Genomic DNA, 14,752 nt, shown 5'->3' on the forward strand with positions numbered 1-14,752 from the left:
AGGACCAACGGGGCTGTGGGAAGTGCCATGCACTTTTAAACAACCAGATCTCCTGAGAACTCTATCACAAGAACAGCACCAAAGGAAGAAATCTGCCCCCATGATCCAATCACCTCCAACCACGCCCCTCCCTCAGCATTGGGGATTACAATTTTACATGAGAGTTGGGTGGGAACACAGAGTCAAACCATATCATTCCGCCCTAGTTCCTCCCAAATCTCACGTCCTTCTCACATTTCAAAACACAATCATGCCTTCCCAACAGTCCCCCAAAATCTTAACTCATTCCAACATCAGCTAAAAAGTCCAAGTCCAAAGTCTCATCTGAGATAAGGCAAGTCCCTTCTGCCTATGAGCCTGTAAAATAAAAAAACAAGTTAGTTGCTTACAAGATACAACGGGGGTACAGGCATTGGGTGAATGCTCCCATTCCAAACGGGAGAAATTGGCCAAAGCAAAGGGGCTCCAGGCCCTACACAAGTCCGAGGCCCTATGCAAGTCCAAAACCCAGCAAGGCAGTTATTAAATCTTAAAGCTCCAAAATAATTTTTTTGACTCCATGTCTCATATCCAGGGCACGCTGATGCAAGGGATGGGCTCCCAAGGCCTTGGGCAGCTCTGCTCCTGTGGCTCTACAGGGCTCAGCCCCATGGCTGCTTTCATCGGCTGGCATTGAGTGCCTGCAGCTTTTCCAGGCACACGGTGCAAACTGTCAGTGGATCTACCTTTCTGGGGTCTAGAGGATGGTGGCCCTCTTCTCACAGCCCCACCTGGCAAAGCCCCAGCACTAAGGGGAGGTCTCAGGGAGCTTTTTACCCATGGCAGAAGGCAAAGCAGGAGCAGGCATCTTGCATGGCAGGAGCAGGACCAAGTGGGGGGAGGGGGAGCATCTTATATGGCAGGAGCAGGACCAAGGTGGTGACAAGCTTTCACCAAGGGGAGAGGTGCCACACACTTTTAAACAACCAGATCTCCGTAGAATTCTATCACGAGAACAGCACCAAAGGGAGAAATCTACCTCCATGATGCAGTCACCTCCCACCAGGCCTCAGCTCCCACACTGGGGATTATAATTCAACATGAGATTTGAATGGGGACACAAATCCAAACCATATCAATCATTCTCCAAGACAACTTGAAAGGAGTAGAAGCAGGAAGATGAAGTGAGAAGTGGAACTTGAAATAAGACACAATGAGAATGGAAAGGAAGAGATGAAAGGAGGAGCATCTCAGAGGTAGAATCAGAAGTATTTACCAAGGAATTGATAAAAAGTCAAAGATTAGCAAAGATATATGCTCATGCAATAACACATATATGAAGCACAGAAGCAAAAGCTGGACTCAGAACAAAAATAGCAAGTTGAGCCTTAAACACACTGAGTTTGCCTTGGGAGTAGAATGTCCAGGCAGAGAAGTCCATCAGGCAATTGAAAATGTGAATCTGCAACTTGTAAAAAATGTATTATTCAGCCTGGGCTGTCATACAATAGACCACAGACTGGTTGGCTTAAACAACAAAAATGTATTTCTAACCATTCTGAAGGCTAGAAGTCCAAGATCAGGATGTCAGCATGGTTGGGCTCTATTGAGGGCTCTCTTCCTGGCCTATAGATGGCCACCTTCTTGCTGTGTCCTCACATGGCTAAAAGAATAAGAGTCAGTTCTCCAGTATCTCTTCTTAGAAGGGCACTAATCCCAGCATGAATGCCCACCCTCATGACCTTGTCTAAACTGAATTACCTCTAAATGGCCCCATCATTAAACATTGTCACAGTGGGGCTTAGAGCTTCAACATATGAATTTCCGGGGAACACAATTCAGTCCATAGCAGGGGTCAAGGCTGGGAATATGCTTTTGAGAGTCCAAAAGCAATTATTCAGTAGTCCAAAAGCAATTATTCAACTACATATATAAAGTGAAAGAGAAAAGCAGTGAGGTAAGGGACCCAGAAGCAAAGACCACCATGAAAGTCAGAGTAAGAGAAAGTTTCAAGGAGAAATTGGATGCTCAACAGAGTCCACTGCTACTCAGTACACCAGAAGGGTCTTGGAAGCTGAGTAACTTGAGTGATTTGGAGGTCTAGAGTGTGCTTAGGAGCACAGGTGTTGAATGGAATGGAGAGTACACTTATTCTATTCACATGTTGTAAGTCAGAGGACTGTGATGTCTGAAGATAGAGAAACATTTGATGTTTCAGTCCTTAAGGATGACAACTAAAAAAGGAAAATGTGCAAACAAAGTAGTCAGAAAATAATGTTCATGGGGGACATGCACTTGAAGAGAAAGGGTTGGTAGCTTTTGAGAGATGATGGGTCAGAGATCTGAGTGTGGCATGGGAAGCAAGAAGTCATCTCATCCACCTCTCTGTGAATCAGCAAGAGGGAGAGGTGTGACCCCTATTGGCAAGAGTTGCAAAGAAATTGTGACTTCAACTGAAAGCTGAGTTTCAGTTCCTGTGAGGAGGTAGGGGAACTATTAGAGAATAAGACGAGGTGACTGGGAGTTTGTTTTCAATGAGTAAGTAGGTCATAGGTCATGGTGGAGGACCAGGACTTCAGCATGCATGAGATTGGTAAGAGAAAGTGATAGTGCCATGTAGAGCTTAATGCCTGGGATTTTGATCCTGAAAGATTCTGAAAGAGGTGAAAGAAGTGGGTGCTAGAGAGGGAGACTGGGGACATGTTAGTGACAGTGGCAGGTGAAGGCAAAAGATAGGGAGAATTAACCCATCCTCCAAGAACATACTGTTCATTCAGACTTGAGGGTTAGTCTGCCATTAAGAAGCCAGAGCCAACCCTTACAACTCAATAATAAGACTGTCTTAGTCGTTTTGTGCTGCTATAACACAATACCACAAATTGGGGGATTTATAATGAACAGAAATGTATTTGGCCCACAGTTCTGGAGGCCAGGAAGTCCAAGATCAAGGGGCCACATGTGCTGAAGGTCTTCTTGCTGTGTCATAACATGGTGGAAGGCATCACATGGGTGTGAGAGAGTGCAAGAGAGAGCAAGAGGTGAACAGATTCTCTAACAAACCCCCTTCCACAATAATGAACTGACTCCCAAGATAATGACATTAATTCACCCATGAGAGTAGAGCCTCATGACCTAATTACCTCTTAAAGATCCCTCCTCTGAACACTGTTGCATTGGGAGGGGATTAAGTGTCCAACACATGAACTTTGGGGGACACATTCAAACCATAGCAAAGGCAATATTACTCAATTTTTTTAAGTAAGCAGAAGATTTGAATAGACATTTTACCAAAGAGACGTAAGAATAGCTAGCTAATGAGCACATGAAATGAAACATATGCCCACATGAAGATTTGTACATGAATGATCACAGTAGTTTTCTTCATAATAGCCAAAAACCAGAAGCAATCTTAATGTCCATCAACGGGTGAATGGATAAAAAAAAAATGTGGTGTGTCCATACAATGGACTAAACCATTCATCAACATAAAGGAATTACTGATGCCTACTACAGCATGATAAACCTCAGAAACATTATGTTAAGTGAAAAAAAGGCAGATAAAAAAATTACATGTTGAATGGTTCCATTTATATGAAATTTCTAGAAAGAGGCAGAACTACAGAGTCAGAAAACAAATCAGTGGTTGCCTGGGGCCAAGAGAAGGAGTGAAGATAAACCACAAATGGACATGAGGGAATTTTCTGGAATGTTGAGATGATCTAAAACTGGACTGTGATGATATGATAGCTGCACGTCTATATAAATTTACTAAACATCATTTAATCACTTTAATTTACTAAACATCACCAATCACTTAAAATTGGTGAGTTTTATGATCTATAAATTATACCTCAACAAAGCTGATTTATAAAAAAAGAGCCTGATGAAATTTTGGATGTTTAGGGCAAGTGTTGGGATTCTAAGCTTCTTGACAGCCACATACATGCAACAATACCCCCACCTCCCCAACAAACACACACAGACAGCACAGAGGCCAAGGCTTCCACCATAGCCACAGTCACTCAGATACTTGACTGGAAATGTACATAGATTTCTGCAGATAGGATGGTGCTATTTCTTTCTCACTCTCATCGAAAGACACTATTTTGTGCTACATAAAGGCTGAACCTGAATAATCTGTACATAATGCTGCTTTGGGAAATGGTTACTGATTGCATGGATAAATTTGCACAGTGTTTTACTTCCAGGACAGCGCAATCTTGAATGTTGACATGGAACATTTCCAAAAGCATGCAATGAGCTATGTGTATGTTGAAACCTGCGACCAAAAACTTGCCTGCTTGTAGATTGGGTTTTCTTTCTAGAAAATGCCCAAATGGAGTTTGGCTAAAATCTGAATACTCTTTAAGTCCATTCAAACAAAATCGGAGTGTCACTACACTGGAAATCACTCACACCCTCCTCTGAACCCTTTTGCAATGGGTGTTGTAATTGTATTATACGTTGTTTCACACTTAATACAAGTTCTTCCATTAAACTGTGTATTGACTTCCTTGTTCTCAGCCCTTATCTGCCTCATCTTTCTGAAGTGTTTAACATTATTGTAACCCTCATTTTTCTTGAAATTTCCTCTTCCTTTGGTTTCTGGGACACTGAAACTTCCAGTTTTCCTCCTGCTTCTAGGTTGTTTTCTTTATCCTCAATGGCTTCTCTTCCTTCTGTCTTCCTTCTCTCAGATGTAGCTGTCTCCCAGGATTTTTGTCTTTAGGGGTCATCCTCCACCAACAGTTGGAACCATTCCCATCAATAACCACCTTTGATTCTCTCTACCTGGATGTCATCATCAGTGTCACAAATTTACCATGTTCAGAATCAAACTCTTTCCTGCCAAACCCTCAATTTCTCACCTCCTGGCTTTGATTAATGGCATCACCATTGTGTAATTTACCCACTCCTCATTCTTTTCAGTGTTCGGTTTTTCAGGTTTTGACAAATGCATGCAGTTGTGTAACCACCACCCCAACAATCAGGACATAGAACAGTTCTATCATCTCAGAAAATTTCCTTATGCTCCTTTGTAGTCAACCTCTACCCTATCCCCAGGACCTGGAAATCAGAAAACCAGATTTATTTTCTGTCTCTAGAGTTTTACTTTTTCTAAAATGTCATATAAATGGAATCATGCAGTCAGTAGTCTTATGAGTCTGTCTCCTTTTACTTCGCATATTACATTTGAGAGCCATCCATGTTGTCGTATCAGTAGTAGTAACGTATCAGTAATTCATTCCTTTCTTATTGTGGCAAAAAAATACATAAAATTTACCATCTGAACGATTTTTATTTTATTTTAAGTTCCAGGGTACATGTGCAAGATGTGCAGATTTGTTACGTAGGTAAACGTGTGCCATGGTGGTTTGCTGCACCTATCAACCCATCACCTGGGTATTAAGCTCGGCATGCATTAGCTGCTTTTCCTGATGCTCCTCCCCTCCCTCGATAGGCCCCAGTGTGTGTTGTTCCCTTCCCTGTGTTCATGTGCTCTCATTGTTCAGCTCCCACTTAGTGAGAACTTGCGGTATTTGGTTTTCTGTTCCTGCGTTAGTTTGCTAAGGATAACAGCTTCCAGCTTCATCCATGTCCCTGCAAAAGACATGATCTTGTTCCTTTTTATGGCTGCATACAACCATTTTTAAATACACAGTACAGTATTGTTAACTATGTGAACATTGTTGTGCAATAGATTCCTAGAACTTTTTCATCTTAGCAAAACTGAAACTCTATATCCATTAAACAATTCTCTCTCTCCCCCAGGCCCTGGCAACCACAATTCTACTTTGTCTAAGAGTTTGACTACTTCAGATACCTCATATAAGTGGAATCATGCAGTATTTGTCTTTTTAGGACCGACTTATTTCATTTAGCAAAATATTCTCAAGCTTCATCCATGTTCTAGTATATGACAAGATTTCCTTCTTTTTAAAGGCAGAATAATATTCCATTGTACATATATGCCACATTTTCTTTATCCATTCATCTGTCAATGGACATTTAGGTTTCTTATACCTCTTGGCTATTATGAATAGTGCCGCAGTGGCCATGGATGTAAAAATTCTCTTTGAGATCCTTTTTTTCAATTCTTTTGTATATACACACAGAGACAGGATTGCTGGATCATATGGTAATTTTATTTTCAAATTTTTGGGGACCTCTCTACTGTTTTCCACAGCAGAGTAGTTCATCTCTTTTTATTTTTGAGTAGTATTCCATCGTACAGATGTACCACATTTTATTTATCCATTCACCAGTTAAAGAACATTTGGGGCCAGGAGAGGTGGCTCACGCCTGTAATCCCAGCACTTTGGGAGGCCGAGGAGGGCAGATCACTTGATGTTAGGAGTTCGAGACCAGCCTAGCCAACATGGTAAAACCCCATCTCCACTAAAAATACAAAAAATTAGCCGGGAGTGGTGGCACATGCCTGTAATCCCAACTATTCAGGAGGCTGCGGCGGGACAGTTGCTTGAACCCTGGATGCAGAGGTTGCAGTGAGCTGAGATCATGCCACTGTACTCCAGCCTGGATGACAGAGTGAGACCCGTCTCAAAAATAATAATAATAAAGAACATTTGAGTTCTTTCCATTTTCAGGCAATTACTTATACATAATTGTAATGGCTATGACATTTGCTTGAAGGTTTTTCTGTGAACGTAATTTTTATTTCTCTTGGGTGAATATCTAGGTGTAAGAGTAACTAACTGGGTTGTAAGATAAGTGTACATTCAACTTTATGAGAAACTGCCAACTATTTTTCAAAGTGGCTGTATCATTTTATGTCCCCACCAGCGATCCATAAGAGTTCCAGTTGTTCAGCATCCTCTCCCGCACTTGACATTGTCAGCTTTCTGATTGTTAGTCATTCTAATTGGTTGTAGTGCTGTCTCATTTTCTTTTTAATCTTTATTTCCCAATGGCTAGTGATGTCGAGCCTCTTTTCATGAGCTTATTTGCCATCCTTATATCACCTTTAGTAAAGTGTCTACTCAAATCTTTTGCCTATTTTTAAGTATTTATTAATAATATTAATTTAGTTAGGGTTTATTTTATTGGCTTGTTTTTGTTTCTTATTGAATTGTTCGAGTTCTCTGTATATTGTGGATACAAGCATATCTTATGCGATACACTTTTGCCAATGCATTTTTTTTTCTTTTGGGACGAAGTCTCACTCTGTCACCCAGCCTGAAGTGCAGTGGTGCAATCTTGGCTCACTGCTACCTCTGCTTCTTGGGTTCAAGTGATTCTTTTACCTCAGCCTCGCCAGTAGCTGGGATTGCAGGCATGAGCCACCATGCCCAGCTAATTTTTGTATTTTTAGTAGAGACAGGGTTTCACCATGTTGGCCAGGCTCCTGACTTCAAGTGATCCGCCTGCCTTGGCCTCCCAAAGTGCTGGGATCACAGGCATGAGCCACCGGTGACACTTGGCCCACAAATGCATTTTTCTAGTCTGTGGATTACCTTTTCATTTATTTAATGGTATCCTTCAAAAAGCAAAAGTTTTTGATTTTGTTGAAAATTTTATCAGTTTACCAATTGATAAAACTTTATCAATTTATTTTTTTTCTTTTATCAATCCTGGTGTTGATGTTGTATCTCCATGCATCTACTCTTGAATGCTCAGATTTGCCTATCATCCTTCCTTGCTCACTTACCTCAGTAGCAACCCTGTCTATCACTTTTCATAGCTTACAACCATCTTTCACATTTAATCATTTCTTTGATCATCACCTTCAGTAAAGTTAGGCCAGATATTCTCCAGATGAGCTTATTGCTGGTGCTCAAATGCTCAAAATGGCTTGACCAATGCCATACAGTAAGCACGGATGATAGCGCTCTCATGGCTTGAAACTAAAACTGACTTGTTTCCTAATGCACATGAATTGTACACCTCCCTCCCCTCACCCCCGACCCCCCCTCAACCGACAGACACACACACACACACACACACACACACACACACACACACACACACCAGCTTCTCTCTTCTTGGTCATCATCCTAATCAGCATCACCTCCTCTTTCACTGTCCCTCCCCTCACCCTGCTGTCAGCCCCACAATGCTTTCAGGGGAGTGTGGAGTGCAGACAATACAATGCTCTTCCTGGAAACCTTCTTCCTCTTACCTCCCTGTCCCGTGAGTCCTCCAGCTATTTTCTGATACCCAGTTATTGCCCACGTCCTTTAATTCCTTGGAAAATTACCCAACTCCATCCCCCTTTTATGTGACTTTGTCTCCAGACAAATCTACATGTAGCGTAGACTGTCAGATAGGGAGACCTGATCACAGAACTTTGGCTTCCTCATCCTAAAATAAAACCAATTACATCACAGGATTGTAACCAAGTACAATCCATTATAAGGATTAAATAAGATGTTTTGTAAAGGATATAATGCCTATGCATGAATCATTATATGACAAATACACTCTTTCACTACCTTAATTCCAGAGAAAAGCCTCATAGGCTTCCGTATTGTAGGTATGCAGGAGTGTCCCTCACCTATTCTTATTCAGAAACCTCCTAACTGGCCTCCATATTGTGAATCAGCTTCTCCTTTCTGTTCTAAGCTTGGCGCTTACAGATGCCATCTCCCTGAGCACAACTCAGAACTCAGCCATGTCCCATTGATTTCAGTCTAACGCACTTTCTTTTTTTTTTTTTTTGAGACGGAGTCTCACTCTATCGCCCAAGCTGGAGTGCAGGGGCGCGATCTCAGCTCACTGCAACTTCCACCTCCCAGGTTCAAGCGATTGTCCTGCTTCAGCCTCCCAAGTAGCTGGGATTACAGGTGCACACCACCATGCCTGGCTAATTTTTGTATTTTTAGTAGAGACAGGGTTTCACCATGTTGGCCAGGCTGGTCCCGAACTCTTGACCTCAAGTGATCTGCCCACCCCCGCCTCCCAAAGTGCTGGGATTACAGATGTGAACCACCTTGTCCCGTCCTGTCTAACCCACTTTCAACATTTAAAAACCTCCACAGCACAGTCCCATTTCAATCTTATGGGTCCCTAATCCCTTCCCCTACTCCAACATGTCAAGCAACGTGAACTATTATACTTTATGGTTTAATAAGAACACATATGCAGCCAGGCGCCGTGGCTCATGCCTGTAATCCCAGCACTTTGGGAGGCCAAGGAGGGTGGATCACCTGAGGTCAGGAGTTAGAGACCAGCCTGGCCAACATGGAGAAACCCCGTCTCTACTAAAAATACAAAAATTAGCCTGGCATGGTGGCAGGCGCCTATAATCCCAGCTACTCAGGAGGCTGAGGCAGGAGAATCGCTTGAACCCGGGAGGAAGAGGTTGCAGTACACCAAGATTGCACCACTTCACTCCAGCCTGGGCAAAAGAGCGAAACTCCATCTCAAAAAATAAAAAAGGAAAGAAAGAACACATGTGTACTGTTACTCCTGGCCCCACCCCCTCCACCCAAAACTCTCCCTCTGCCCTCATATTACCTGCACCTATAAAACAAAGTCTCCCTGTTCCTCAAGACCCACCTTACTGTCACTCTCTTCCTGCAGCCTTTCTCAGTACCCTACTATTATCTCTTTGACTTTTGGCAACCTTTGTACCTCTTTGATATTACTGCTCTATATTACAGCTATTATCTTATTGTCCTGTGTGGCAGTTATCTGCTCAATTCTCTTAACCCTGTTCATTCAGCCCTGGGACCTATCTAGTAACTTGAACAGTAACCTACTCGTATGTGATCAAGGGTCAATTGATACTTGTTAAATTGATTTTAAATGTTAATGCATATTCTGGGACTTGAAAGTTAACACGATGATGTTGTCAGAAGTGATTGTTGATTGTTAAGATTTTCAGACTTTGAAAACTTCTACTTTGCAAAGCTGAATTAGACAGCAAAGTTCTGTAGCTCCCTCCTGGCAAGGGGTTTGAGTTTTCTGTTGGGATCAAGGCAGTCAGCAGCCATCAAGGGTTCTTGCACTTGGGCAAAGAAGTCATTAATGGTAATTTGTATCAGCAATTACAGCATCTACCTCATTTCTTTCTTTCAGTCGCAGCGTTCAAAGGCAGGCTTTATTCTCCTTCTTGCTGGGTACTGCAAGCTACACTTGCCTCTCAGTTTTATGTCTTCCTACTCCAGCTGTCTGGTGTGGATTTTCCTTCTGCTCCAAGCTTCCTTCATTTCTTCCTCCTTATGCTTCCTACTCTTAGAGTGGCCTGGAAGTGTTGCTGGGCCAGAACTGCCCCCCTGGGTCCTGTCCACAGGGGCGGCCTCTGCCCATGCTGACTCTCCTCGTGTCATTCTTGCATGGGCACATGTCCAGGGGGAGATAATATGTATGACCTGGTCTATCCTGAGCACAGTGTTTTAAATCAAGAAATTGCATGTTTATTGAAGTTCAGTAGACCAAACAAGACCTAAGGGTCAGGAACTCTTAAATGTTTATCCCAGTGTGGACTCAGATGTATTGGGGAATTTTAGCAAGTCACTTAACCTCTCCGTGTCCCTGTGATCTTCCTATATAGTACTGATACGGCTATTTTATATGAATCTAGTACTTTCACATCTTCATGTGACAGTTTTATTGAAATTAATTTTCAATAGAGAAACTTGTTGCCTTGCAGTTTTTTTTATTTCTGATTTTTAATATGTATTTTTACTTATGTTGATTTAGACCTTCCCATTTAATAGTAACCTTTCAATGTGGTTACATTTCTTAAAGAGTATTTATGTTCAGTTTGAAACCACACAAATTTAAATTTTGGGAGGCTTTCTTCTTCTTTTACAAGTAATGTAAAATTGTAGTGAAGCTATTGGAAAAGAAAAGGATAGAAACATGTTAGTGCTTTGACACAGCGGGAGAGAATTTTGGAAGAGATATTCTACCAACTACAGATGGAATCTTCATCATCATGTAGACTTCAGATATTCTTTTAGAAAACTTTACATTTACTTATAATCTAAACCTTACTTGTTTAAACAAGTCATGAAATGTATAGCTTAATAATTGCCTTTAAGAAAATTGTTGCCCAAAACAGAAACCGTATTGAGTATGTAAAGCCAAGTTTAGTTACCAAGACCTACTGATTTCCTTTCATATATGTATGGTCACATCTCTCACCTCATCTGTCCTGTTTCTTGTTTTACTAGTGGTCCTTTGGCGTGCTCCTCTGGGAGCTGATGACAAGAGGAGCCCCACCTTATCCTGACGTAAACACCTTTGATATAACTGTTTACTTGTTGCAAGGGAGAAGACTCCTACAACCCGAATACTGCCCAGACCCCTTGTAAGTAGTCTTTCTGTACCTCTTACGTTCTTTACTTTTACAGAAATGCCTGCCTTCAAAGGGTCTCTTACAGCATGTCTTTCTTTTTGGAACAGATATGAAGTAATGCTAAAATGCTGGCACCCTAAAGCCGAAATGCGCCCATCCTTTTCTGAACTGGTGTCCCGGATATCAGCGATCTTCTCTACTTTCATTGGGGAGCACTATGTCCATGTGAACGCTACTTATGTGAACGTAAAATGTGTCGCTCCGTATCCTTCTCTGTTGTCATCAGAAGATAACGCTGATGATGAGGTGGACACACGACCAGCCTCCTTCTGGGAGACATCATAGTGCTAGTACTATGTCAAAGCAACAGTCCACACTTTGTCCAATGGTTTTTTCACTGCCTGACCTTTAAAAGGCCATCGATATTCTTTGCTCTTGCCAAAATTGCACTATTATAGGACTTGTATTGTTATTTAAATTACTGGATTCTAAGGAATTTCTTATCTGACAGAGCATCAGAACCAGAGGCTTGGTCCCACAGGCCACGGACCAATGGCCTGCAGCCGTGACAACACTCCTGTCATATTGGAGTCCAAAACTTGAATTCTGGGTTGAATTTTTTAAAAATCAGGTACCACTTGATTTCATATGGGAAATTGAAGCAGGAAATATTGAGGGCTTCTTGATCACAGAAAACTCAGAAGAGATAGTAATGCTCAGGACAGGAGCGGCAGCCCCAGAACAGGCCACTCATTTAGAATTCTAGTGTTTCAAAACACTTTTGTGTGTTGTATGGTCAATAACATTTTTCATTACTGATGGTGTCATTCACCCATTAGGTAAACATTCCCTTTTAAATGTTTGTTTGTTTTTTGAGACAGGATCTCACTCTGTTGCCAGGGCTGTAGTGCAGTGGTGTGATCATAGCTCACTGCAACCTCCACCTCCCAGGCTCAAGCCTCCCGAATAGCTGGGACTACAGGCGCACACCACCATCCCCGGCTAATTTTTGTATTTTTTGTAGAGACGGGGTTTTGCCATGTTGCCAAGGCTGGTTTCAAACTCCTGGACTCAAGAAATCCACCCACCTCAGCCTCCCAAAGTGCTAGGATTACAGGCATGAGCCACTGCGCCCAGCCCTTATAAATTTTTGTATAGACATTCCTTTGGTTGGAAGAATATTTATAGGCAATACAGTCAAAGTTTCAAAATAGCATCACACAAAACATGTTTATAAATGAACAGGATGTAATGTACATAGATGACATTAAGAAAATTTGTATGAAATAATTTAGTCATCATGAAATATTTAGTTGTCATATAAAAACCCACTGTTTGAGAATGATGCTACTCTGATCTAATGAATGTGAACATGTAGATGTTTTGTGTGTATTTTTTTAAATGAAAACTCAAAATAAGACAAGTAATTTGTTGATAAATATTTTTAAAGATAACTCAGCATGTTTGTAAAGCAGGATACATTTTACTAAAAGGTTCATTGGTTCCAATCACAGCTCATAGGTAGAGCAAAGAAAGGGTGGATGGATTGAAAAGATTAGCCTCTGTCTCGGTGGCAGGTTCCCACCTCGCAAGCAATTGGAAACAAAACTTTTGGGGAGTTTTATTTTGCATTAGGGTGTGTTTTATGTTAAGCAAAACATACTTTAGAAACAAATGAAAAAGGCAATTGAAAATCCCAGCTATTTCACCTAGATGGAATAGCCACCCTGAGCAGAACTTTGTGATGCTTCATTCTGTGGAATTTTGTGCTTGCTACTGTATAGTGCATGTGGTGTAGGTTACTCTAACTGGTTTTGTCGACGTAAACATTTAAAGTGTTATATTTTTTATAAAAATGTTTATTTTTAATGATATGAGAAAAATTTTGTTAGGCCACAAAAACACTGCACTGTGAACATTTTAGAAAAGGTATGTCAGACTGGGATTAATGACAGCATGATTTTCAATGACTGTAAATTGCGATAAGGAAATGTACTGATTGCCAATACACCCCACCCTCATTACATCATCAGGACTTGAAGCCAAGGGTTAACCCAGCAAGCTACAAAGAGGGTGTGTCACACTGAAACTCAATAGTTGAGTTTGGCTGTTGTTGCAGGAAAATGATTATAACTAAAAGCTCTCTGATAGTGCAGAGACTTACCAGAAGACACAAGGAATTGTACTGAAGAGCTATTACAATCCAAATATTGCCGTTTCATAAATGTAATAAGTAATACTAATTCACAGAGTATTGTAAATGGTGGATGACAAAAGAAAATCTGCTCTGTGGAAAGAAAGAACTGTCTCTACCAGGGTCAAGAGCATGAACGCATCAATAGAAAGAACTCGGGGAAACATCCCATCAACAGGACTACACACTTGTATATACATTCTTGAGAACACTGCAATGTGAAAATCACGTTTGCTATTTATAAACTTGTCCTTAGATTAATGTGTCTGGACAGATTGTGGGAGTAAGTGATTCTTCTAAGAATTAGATACTTGTCACTGCCTATACCTGCAGCTGAACTGAATGGTACTTCGTATGTTAATAGTTGTTCTGATAAATCATGCAATTAAAGTAAAGTGATGCAACATCTTGTATACTGATAGTGGTTATTGCCAGTCATGCTTGATTACCTGCATTTGCATAATGATAGAGGAAGCCTAAGATGGATTTCACCTGGCTGCATAGAGCTCATCCATGTAGGAGAGCCTTAGTCAAGTGAATGCTGAGGAAGTAGTAAAACAGCATGCATCCCCGAATCTCAGGAAGTCTCTGTCTTTCCAAGGGTTTGGTCTAAGTTGCTGATTACCTGGATTTTTCTGACGATCTTTCAACTGCTAGAGCATCTGGTTCCTGTTTTAGCATGGTGCTCTTCTCCAGCAAGGTGTGTCCTTAGACTAGAAGACACAAAAATGGAGCAGCAGCCACACCATTGGCGCACAGATACCTAGGTGTGGGTTGGAGAGAGAGGCCTTCTTGCCCCATCAAAACTACTCTTTATCTACACAGGTGCCCACCCTTTTACCCCCAGTTACCAGAGAAATTACCTTCAGGTTATCTCCATGTATATTCTTGTAATGGTAAGGGAATTCAAAGGTGATAATTTCAGCCATCTAAGAATTGTGTGACACATTGGGGGTAATCTAATTTTAAAAGAACCCAATTTAAAATAATGCCTACAAAATACAATGGACACTGATCCTTTACTGGGAGATAATTCAACCCCCGCTCACGGCCAAACTCTCTCCCACTCAAAAGATGCATTTCCCCAGAAAGTTCAATCCAACTCTCTCCCATAAGGAGAACAACCTGTCATCTTTACATCTCTAGAATCCGGCACTTAGTAGATTCTCAAATAATTGCTGAACTGAAACAGCATTTTCTTATTCCCCATCACTTTATTTATTTATTTATTTATTTATTTATTTATTTATTTTTGAGACAGGGTCCCACTCTGGCCCCCCCAGCTGGAGTGCAGTGGCATGATCTTGGCTCAC

The 14,752-nt window shown here is 41.3% G+C and overlaps 1 protein-coding gene across 4 annotated transcripts in view; it reads left to right on the forward strand.

Annotated features, from left to right (window-relative positions):
* MET (MET proto-oncogene, receptor tyrosine kinase) overlaps positions 1 to 13,843 on the forward strand; it is a 126,182-nt gene extending 112,339 nt beyond the window's left edge. For all 4 annotated transcript variants that reach the window (XM_011516223.2, NM_001127500.3, NM_000245.4 and 1 more), the window contains 2 exons: positions 11,121 to 11,257; positions 11,353 to 13,843. In XM_011516223.2, the coding sequence (XP_011514525.1) occupies positions 11,121 to 11,257; positions 11,353 to 11,590 (375 nt within the window). In that variant the 3' untranslated portion in view covers positions 11,591 to 13,843. The remainder of the gene's footprint in view (positions 1 to 11,120; positions 11,258 to 11,352) is intronic.

Source organism: Homo sapiens, chromosome 7 (assembly GCF_000001405.40).
Source record: "Homo sapiens chromosome 7, GRCh38.p14 Primary Assembly".
Taxonomy (NCBI): domain Eukaryota; kingdom Metazoa; phylum Chordata; class Mammalia; order Primates; family Hominidae; genus Homo; species Homo sapiens.